This window comes from Homo sapiens, chromosome 6, assembly GCF_000001405.40.
Source record: "Homo sapiens chromosome 6, GRCh38.p14 Primary Assembly".
Classification (NCBI taxonomy): Eukaryota; Metazoa; Chordata; class Mammalia; order Primates; family Hominidae; genus Homo; species Homo sapiens.
Genome location: NC_000006.12, coordinates 29,085,531 through 29,095,196, shown reverse-complemented (window position 1 = coordinate 29,095,196; position 9,666 = coordinate 29,085,531). Strand labels below are relative to the sequence as shown.

The following is a 9,666-nucleotide window of genomic DNA, read 5'->3' as shown; positions in this document are numbered from 1 at the left end:
TTTTGCTACATGCCATAAGTTGTGGTATGTTGTGTTTTCATTTTCATCTGTCTTAAGATTTTTTTTAATTTTGCTTTTGATTTTTTATTTAACCCATTGTTTATTCAGGAGCATGTTGTTTAATTTCCACGTTTGTAAATATTTTAAATTTTCTCCTATTATTCACTTCTACTTTCATAACTTTGTGGTCAGAAAAGATACTTGATATGATTTCGATCTTCTTAAAACTGTGGAGACTTATTTTGTTCCCTAATATTTGATCCTGGATAATGTCCCATTTGCACTTGAGAAGAATGAGTATTCTGTTGCTGTTGGATGGAATGTTCTATATATGTCTGTTAGGTCCATTTGATCTAATGTGCGTTTCAAGTCCAGTGTTTCCTTATTGATTTCTGTCTAGATGACATGTTCATTGTTGAAAGTGAAGTGTTGAAAAACCCTGCTATTACTGTATTGCAGTCTGTTTCTTTTTAGGTCTATTAATACTTTCTTTATACATTTAGATGATCTAGTATTAGGTGTATATATATTTACAATTGTTACGTCCTTTTGATGAATTGACCCTTTTATCATGTAATGACTTTCTCTGTCTCTTTTTACAGTTTTGGACTTAAAGTCTGTCTAATATAAGTAGAGCTACCCCTGCTGTCTTTTGGTTTCTACTTGCATGAAATATTTTTTTCAGTCAATGTGTGTTCTTTAAGTTAAAGTTAGCCTCTTACAGGCAGCCTATGTTTGAGTATTGTTTTTCAGTTTTTTCCCAAAGCAAATCATTTTAGTAGGTTGTCAAATATACAATTATTGGAAATATCTAAATATTACCTGTAAAAATCAGCATATCACATTAGATAATTCTATAAAGTAAGAAAACACAAATCACACATTGCCAATAACCGCTGCAGTCCAAGAATATCCTCCTGTCAATAGTACAAATTACAAACACATTTTTAAAACTAAAGATGTTATTTAGACATTTAAACCAAAGTAACCATGACTAGCCTAAATACATTCATTCATCAAGTACAATAAATTTAGCATTGCTACTTACAGTCACTAATAACACAATTTTAGGTGCAATTTTACCTAAAATTTCATAAATTTTCCAATACAGTTCCAATAGTAAAGTGTCTTTGTGCATGCCATTTCCATTTATATGTGGGTGCATCATATATCAGACTTAAGGCTATTTCACCTCATTATTAAATTGTTCATAAATATATAAAGAAAGTGAACACCAGGCCAAAATTTAATCCCAATGATAAAAAAATATATATATATATATAATATATATAAAATATATATATTATTAAAAAGTCAGGAAACAACTGTGAGCCAAAATAAACCTTTTTTCTTTGTAAATTACCCAGTCTTAGGTATTCCTTTATAGCAATGCAAATGGATGAATGCAGAAACAAAGGATCGGTCTGCATTTCTTAACTTCAGAAACTACAGTCTTTGTAGTTTCCTTTGTAGTACCTTTGTAAAGACGAAGATCTTTAAATAGTTTAGTGCTTAGTGTCCTTGTTAAAGTATAACGTTATATAATGAACACCGGCTGATAAATTATTGATGCATTAACTGGCAACATTTCAAAAAAAATTCAAACTCGAAATCTCAGTTTAGAATCTTCCAAGTGAATGAGAACCCCTAACTCTGTTCAGGTCAAATGTTGCCCCCTCACAGAAACTGACTGACCATGCTGTCTAAAGTAACAGCCTCAGCTAATTTTGATTCTCTTACCCTGCTTTCTTTTTCTTCATAGCATTTATCACTATCTGACATTGTATTATATATCTATTTACTTATTATTAGTTTTCTATCTCCTTACTAGTATGTAAGCTTCATTAGAACAGAGACTTTATTTCTTTTGATTATCAATATATCTCCTGTGCACATGACAGTGCCTGACACTTATCACCATGACATAAAGATTTATTGAGTAAATGATTAAATGGTTTGTTTCCATGTTCATGTTCCAACCAGACACATAGGCAGGTATTGTGGCTTATCTCTGAAGTCCTTGGCACTGGCTGGCTGGCATAGAACCTTGCAAACAATGAATAAATAAATTACCCTGATCGATCAGTGTGCCTGGATAGAGAAGACATGTAGCAATGCTGCACCCCTGGATGTGCTATTAATACAATTATACAGCATGGAATACTATGTAGCCATAAAAAAGAATGAGTTCACGTCCTTTGCAGGGATACGGATGAAGCTGGAAGCCATCATTCTCAGCAAACTAACACAGGAACAGAAAACCAAACACCTCATGTTCTCACTCATAAGTGAGAGTTGAACAATGAGCACACATGGACACAGGGAGGGGAACTTTACACACCGGGGCCTGTCAGGGGGTGGGGGGCAAGGGGAGGGAGAGCATTAGGACAAATACCTAATGCATGCAGGGCTTAAAGATGACAGGTTGATAGGTGCAGCAAACCATTATGGCACATGTATACCTATGTAACAAACCTGCACGTTCTACACATATATCCCAGAACTTAAAGTAAAATAAAAATAATAATAATTTATAAAATACACTTAAAATTTTTTTTTAACCAAGATTGTTCTCTTGAGGTTAACTTATTACTACTTTGAGTTGCCAGGAGTGATTGCACATTTCTTGGGAATCCCTAAGTCACCAAGAATAAAGACCACTTGTAATAACTAAGGCATATTCAACAATAAAATTCTAGAGATTCGGGATATTTGATATTTGCTTGTAACATTTCACTTTTTAGCTTTTATTCATTTAATAAATGTTTTCTTTATCATCTTGTATACTCATGAACAGTTTTAAGTGTCCATTCAAATCATTTCATTGGGAAAAAAAAAGTCAGGAAACAACAGATGTTGGCAATGCTGGGGAGAAATAGGAACACTTTTACACTGTTAGTGGAAATGTAAATTAGTTCAGCCATTGTGGAAGACAGTGTGGCGATTTCTCAAAGATCTAGAGCCAGAAATACTATTTAACCCAGCAATCACATTACTGGGTATATACTCAAAGGATTATAAATAATTCTACTATAAAGACACATGCACACATATGTTTATTGCAGCACCATTTACAACAGCTAAGACTTGGAACCAACCCAAATGCCCATCAGTGACAGACTGGATAAAGAAAATGTGGTACATATACACCATGTAGCCATAGAAAAGAATGAGTTCATGTCCTTTGCCGGGACATGGATGAAGCTGGAAACCATCATTCTCAGCAAACTAACACGGGAACAGAAATCCAAACACCACACGTTCTCACTCATAAGTGGGAGTTGAAAATAAGAACACGTGGACACAGGAAGGGGAACATCACACACTGGGGCCTGTTGAAGGGTGGCGGCACAGGGAGGAGAGCGTTAGGACAAATACCTAATGCATGAGGGGCTTAAAACCTAAATGACAGGTTGATAGGTGCAGCAAACCACCATGGCACATATATACCTATGTAACAATACTGCATGTTCTGCACATGTATCCCAGAACTTAAGGTAAAATTTTTTTAAAAAAGTAAAACCACAAAAAATAAAATAACTTTTCTATTATAATCCAAGCACAACAAATTGTATTTGAAAACTAATTACAAATATATATTACATATAGAAAGTATGTATATATGTCTATTAAACTTATATATAAATTATTAGCTACAACAGATGTCATATAGTTACAAAAATCACAGGCTAAGAAAATGTCCTAATTTAGAAAATGATCATATTCTACACAAAAAGAAAAATGAGGAAAAATAGATACATTAAAATACGAGCACATTAGTTTCCTTAAGATTATATCTAGGCTGATGCTCAATTCAATTACAACTTCTTTATTTTACTAAGATCTTAGGATAAGCACTTATTAAGTCACATATTAAGTCATAACTTGCATAAATCAGCTTTTTTTTTTTGGAGATGGAGTTTCGCTTTTGTTGCCCAGGCTGGAGGGCAATGACTTATCTTGTCTCCCCAGGTTCTAGCGATTCTCCTGTCCCGCCTCTGCCTCCCGAGTAGCTGAGATTACAAGCACCCACCACCATGCCCAGCTAATTTTTTGTATTTTTAGTAGACACTAGGTTTCACCATGTTGGCCAGGCTGGTCTTGAACTCCTGACCTCAGGTGATCCGTCCGCTTCGGCCTCCCAAAGTGCTGGGATTACAGGCGTGAGCCACCGCCCCAGCCCTCAGCTGCTTCTTTCAAAAACTATTCCCCCTATTGCAATTTCATGTAATTTCTGTGTGTTCTGACCCAGTGAATTAATGCTAACCTTAAATTTCAATGTGTATATTAATATGTTAAGTGACTTTGTATGACATAATTTTTAACCTACAGATCTCTGGTAGCTTTAGTTTACAAACACTTATTACTAAAATCAGTGAAAATAGAAATATCATTTTTCCCTATACGCCATCATAGGACTCCCTATTTGACCTTGCAACTATTTAAAAGGAATTTGGGGCTATAAGTTCATTAAACCTTGTGCTTTCCTAATTAAACAACTTTAAATTTATTTTTCATTGTTTATTTTTGTTACTCTAATCTTCACCCTAGTTTTAGAATTTGTGAACGACATATGTGGTAGTATTATGCAACCAGCCCAGTTAGGAATAGAGTTGACTTATTGACTCTCTGGACATAATGACCAATTAAACTTGAGGGACTCTAGAATCTCTAGGGCTAAAAAGAGGACACAGAATTGTGTGAGTGGTACTCCCTTAATAAATATTGGTTGGCTTTATTTAAAGGCATAACTTTCTTTCCATGACACTTCCAATGTTGTTGATGTCTATAAAGTCAACTTCTCGTTGTAGAAATCCACTAGGAACCTGGTGAGGAGAGCCCATGTCAGTCAAAAATGCCCCAATGACTGAAGACACACTAACTATACACATTTTCCTCTCCTCATAAGTATTTTTCTCACATGTTCTTGATGCAGTCCAGGTTTCATGCTAATTTCATTCTTGGTCAGTGGGCAAAAGGTAGTTGAGTTAGAATGTCGTAAAGATTGAAAATTCAAAAACTCAACTGCATTTATTAATCTGTCTTTGAACCAGACTTCCTTTGAAACACAGCACAAAGAAAGGCGTGAATATCTCTTGGACATTTAGAAAAAAGGTGAGTGGCGTCTAATACAGTGTATTATATTACCATGAGTGGGAAGGATCTCTCAAGAACATCTCACCTACATCCCTGCCTCTGAGTTGCATCATGTTAAATAATCAGAATGCCCAATTTGTTTCCTGGGAACTTTGAAATTAATATGAAGTATTTTCAGTGATTCCAAAAATCCTTCGTATCCTTTCACCCTTTTGAATGGTTTGCTCATTATATCTCCGTACATAAAAACGGTCAGTGGGATTTAAGATTTCTTTTGATTCATGTAGAAAATAGAAATAGGACAAAAAGTCAACGTGACAGTGGAATCAACATGTTCTTGTCAAGAGGTAAGTTCATTTTCTGATAACGTAAAAGAGAAATTGGCGCCATATAAAATATGAAGAAAATAAGAGAAATTATCAGTGCCATATAAAATGTGAAGAGAAGAGGACGTGAAAAAATAGGAGTAGAAAATAACAGCTACTGAATAGGGTCCTCTTTTATTCCATGCCCTTTAGATAACCAGATATCACCTACTACATTGATTTAACTTCCATTTACTGGAAAACTATGTACTCAGTATATTATGCTAGAAACAAAGACAAAGTGATAATATGAAATTCAATAATTTCATGTTATAATATTATGAAATTATAACAATCACTTGAACCACCAATAGTAAATTTTCTGTTTTCTCATATACAAGACAAGCTGAGATAATGATATAGTATTACTATTAATGACTTATTAGTGATTAGTATTAATGATACTGCTATTGATATCAAGCTCACATTCATTAAATGCTTAGTATGCTTGGGACAGGGTCCTAAGTTCAGATGTGTATACATTGTCTCACTTGAGCTTCACAATACTCTCTTTTTATCAAGTCAGAGATTGTTTTTTAATGTAGCACAAGAATGTTCATTCATTGCCCAGGATCACACAATCCAGTAATAAAACCCTGGCAGATTCTGGCTCCAGAGGCACTGTACCTAACAGCTAACCTTTAACAGTGATTTTTTTTAATGCTACTAAGTAGGAAGACAATGTGATACTTTCTTCTTGTTTTTATTTGTGTTTCTTCAATAATGAAAAAGTTATAATCTTTTATACTTTCACTGTCATTTTATGTTGTTTTCTTCCCCAAACTGCTTATTTATGTCCATTGCTCATTTTTTTCCATTGGACTTTTGATCTTTTTCTATTTATTATGTAATAATTATTTATATTTTAATATAATAACCATTTTTTCCATAAACATTGTATATTTTTCTATCTTGCCATTTATGTTTTATCTTTCTGTGTAGTCTTTTTCTGATATAAAAAATTGTATTAATGAGTAAAAATTGTATATATTTATAGTGTACAACATGATGTTTTGATATATGTGTACATTATAAAGTGGCTAAATCAAGTTATCTAATGTATGTATTACCTTACATATTTATCATTTTGTAAATTTACATGGACATTCAAAAAAGCCTAATCTCATATTCTCTTCTATTTTTCAACCAAAGGTGTATTACTGTTATTTGCCAAAAAATAATGTGTATCTATAGCTAAAAAAAATCATATATAATGGAAGAAGTTAAAAATCTCAAGGTCATCTCTGTTCATTTTCATTTATTCATTCCATTATCAAATTATACTTTATATATCAGTGTTTTTACTCTGGAAAAGTTATCTTATTCTGTGGTAAATTGTGTCAATACTTATTTTCTCTTCTCTCTTCAGTCTATCTTTCTATTTTTATGCTTGCAAATTCAAATGGTGTAAACCACCTCGATGACATTTCATTTAAACATGCAAAGTAGACTGAAGAAACTTAGGTGCACTTAGGTAATATAACTAAATAACTGATGACTTTTACAGACTGAAGAAAATCAACTTGAATATATGACTTTTGGTTTGTTTCTATTTTAATTTATGACCACTTTTGTGCTGTATGCAGTCATTCTTATTGTACTATCTGTGTATTTAGGGGGAAATACGGTATAAAAGAAAGAATGATCTTTAAATCCTAGGTGTTAGTCTTGACCTCACCAATAATGAGTGTGCAAATTATTTATTCTTACTGAATCACAGAAGCAATAAAATGCAAACCATGACTGTGAGGGGTTTGATGAGAATTACAAAGAATGTATTTCACACACTGAGCAGTTTCTGGCACATGTTAAGTAAAGCAACAATTATGTTATCAGTTTTGCTATTTTAATTAAGGTATTTGCAGATGGGGAGATGACATCTGTGGTCATTACTATATATCACAAGTAGCCATAATTTTATTACTAATACCCACGGTAGTTCTTTGTGGAAATGGACCTACATGCATGGCATTTAGGAGACAGACACAACTCAAAAAAACACGTAAAGATGTTACTAAAAGAAGCAAAATTTCTTTAGATCAATTGCAGATTTAGATTCAACTCTTATACCCTCTATATTACTCAGCATTTTCAGGCCAAATTTAAAATAATTGGAGTAAAAGTAATATTTCTTTCTAAACTGTTTATTAAGATAGGTTAGGAGGTAAGAAGAGGAGAGAACATAAAATGCATTGAGAACTCACAATTTTCCATGTGTTATGCATATGTTACATACTTTATGTCATTTAAATGTAATGATTTTCTTTAAAGTAATTTAAACACTACTGAAAACACAGGAACTACTTTTAAGCTTAAACATAACCATATTATACTTTACAAGGGCTTTATCCACTTGACTGTAAATTGTATTTGATGCTGAGCTATTCATTAAATTTAATTCAGCTCCAGTAAGAGTATTCAATAAACAAACATTGATTGCTTTCCTATCTTACATTTTTTTAGGAGTGCGAAATAAGTGAGTCATCATGAATTGGGAAAATGAGAGCTCCCCAAAAGAGTTTATACTACTTGGCTTCTCAGATAGGGCTTGGCTACAAATGCCCCTTTTTGTGGTCCTGTTAATATCATACACAATCACCATATTTGGCAATGTGTCCATCATGATGGTGTGCATTCTGGATCCCAAACTTCATACTCCCATGTATTTCTTTCTCACTAATCTCTCCATCTTAGATCTCTGCTATACCACAACTACAGTCCCTCATATGTTGGTAAATATTGGTTGCAACAAAAAGACCATCAGCTATGCTGGCTGTGTGGCCCACCTCATCATCTTCCTGGCCCTAGGTGCTACAGAGTGTCTCCTTCTGGCTGTTATGTCCTTTGACAGATATGTGGCTGTTTGCAGACCCCTCCACTATGTAGTCATCATGAATTATTGGTTCTGCCTAAGGATGGCAGCCTTCTCATGGCTCATTGGTTTCGGCAACTCAGTGCTGCAGTCTTCCTTGACTCTTAACATGCCACGCTGTGGTCACCAGGAAGTGGACCACTTTTTCTGTGAGGTGCCTGCACTTCTCAAGTTGTCATGTGCTGACACAAAGCCTATTGAGGCTGAGCTCTTCTTCTTTAGTGTACTAATTCTTCTAATTCCAGTGACATTGATCCTCATCTCCTATGGCTTCATAGCTCAAGCAGTATTAAAAATCAGGTCAGCAGAAGGACGGCAAAAAGCATTTGGGACATGTGGGTCCCACATGATTGTGGTGTCCCTCTTTTATGGAACAGCCATTTATATGTATCTTCAACCACCTTCATCCACCTCTAAGGACTGGGGAAAGATGGTTTCCCTCTTCTATGGAATCATCACATCCATGTTGAACTCCCTCATCTACAGCCTTAGAAATAAAGATATGAAGGAGGCCTTCAAGAGGCTGATGCCAAGAATCTTTTTCTGTAAGAAATAAGAAGTACTCCATTGTGATGAGAATCTTCTTAGTCTTTCCTTATCTTCAATGATGGTAATGACCTTTGAACTCATTTTCCTATTTTCCAGGCTCTGGTGATTTCACTAAATTCTGTCAACAATTAGAAAATCCTTCCTCTGTTGGCTGGGCGCGGTGGTTCACGCCTGTAATCCCAGTACTTTGTGGGGGCCAAGGTGGGCAGATCACATGAGGTCAGGAGTTCGAGACCAGCCTGGCCAACATGGCGAAACCCCATCTCTACTAAAAGTACAAAAAAATTAGCAGGGCATGGTGGTACACGCCTGTAATCCCAGATACTCAGGAGGCTGGGGCAAGAGAATCGCTTGAACCCAGGAGTCAGAAGTTGCAGTTAGCCCAGATCGCGCCACTCACTCCAGCGTGGGTGACAGAGTAGGAATCTGTCTCAGGAAAAAAAAAAAAAAAAAAAAAAAAAAAGGAAAGAAAGAAAAGTCTTCTTCTGTTTAGGAAGCAATGCTGAACCCATATGACATGTCTTCAAAGTTAGAAACTCCTTTCTTTTCAGAAGTTCCCCCAATGTACTCTGTTCCTTGAGACAAGTCATGTCAATTTCCTATCAACTTCAGGGTAGTCAGGAGACTTTGATGGATTGCCTTCCACTTGTATACTATTATTCTATAACCATCCTGTCTACGCCTTTAGTTAGGGATTTTAATATCCTTATAATTAAATTACCAGTTATTCCAAGCCAAAAATTATTCCATCAGAATCAAAGTCTTCAAACACTTTGAACCCTC

General features: G+C 34.8%; 1 protein-coding gene across 1 annotated transcript; it reads left to right on the top strand.

Moving 5' to 3' along the window:
• Positions 1-7,883: 7,883 nt before the first annotated feature.
• OR2B3 (olfactory receptor family 2 subfamily B member 3) lies at positions 7,884-8,989 on the top strand. Its single transcript, NM_001005226.2, has one exon. It carries the CDS (start codon positions 7,949-7,951, stop codon positions 8,888-8,890), a length of 942 nt encoding a protein of 313 aa, NP_001005226.1. The 5' UTR covers positions 7,884-7,948; the 3' UTR covers positions 8,891-8,989.
• Positions 8,990-9,666: the final 677 nt, after the last annotated feature.

Excerpts from the sequence above, each read along its gene's own strand:
- OR2B3 (NM_001005226.2), top strand. The coding sequence starts at position 7,949 with ATGAATTGGGAAAATGAGAGCTCCCCAAAAGAGTTTATACTACTTGGC.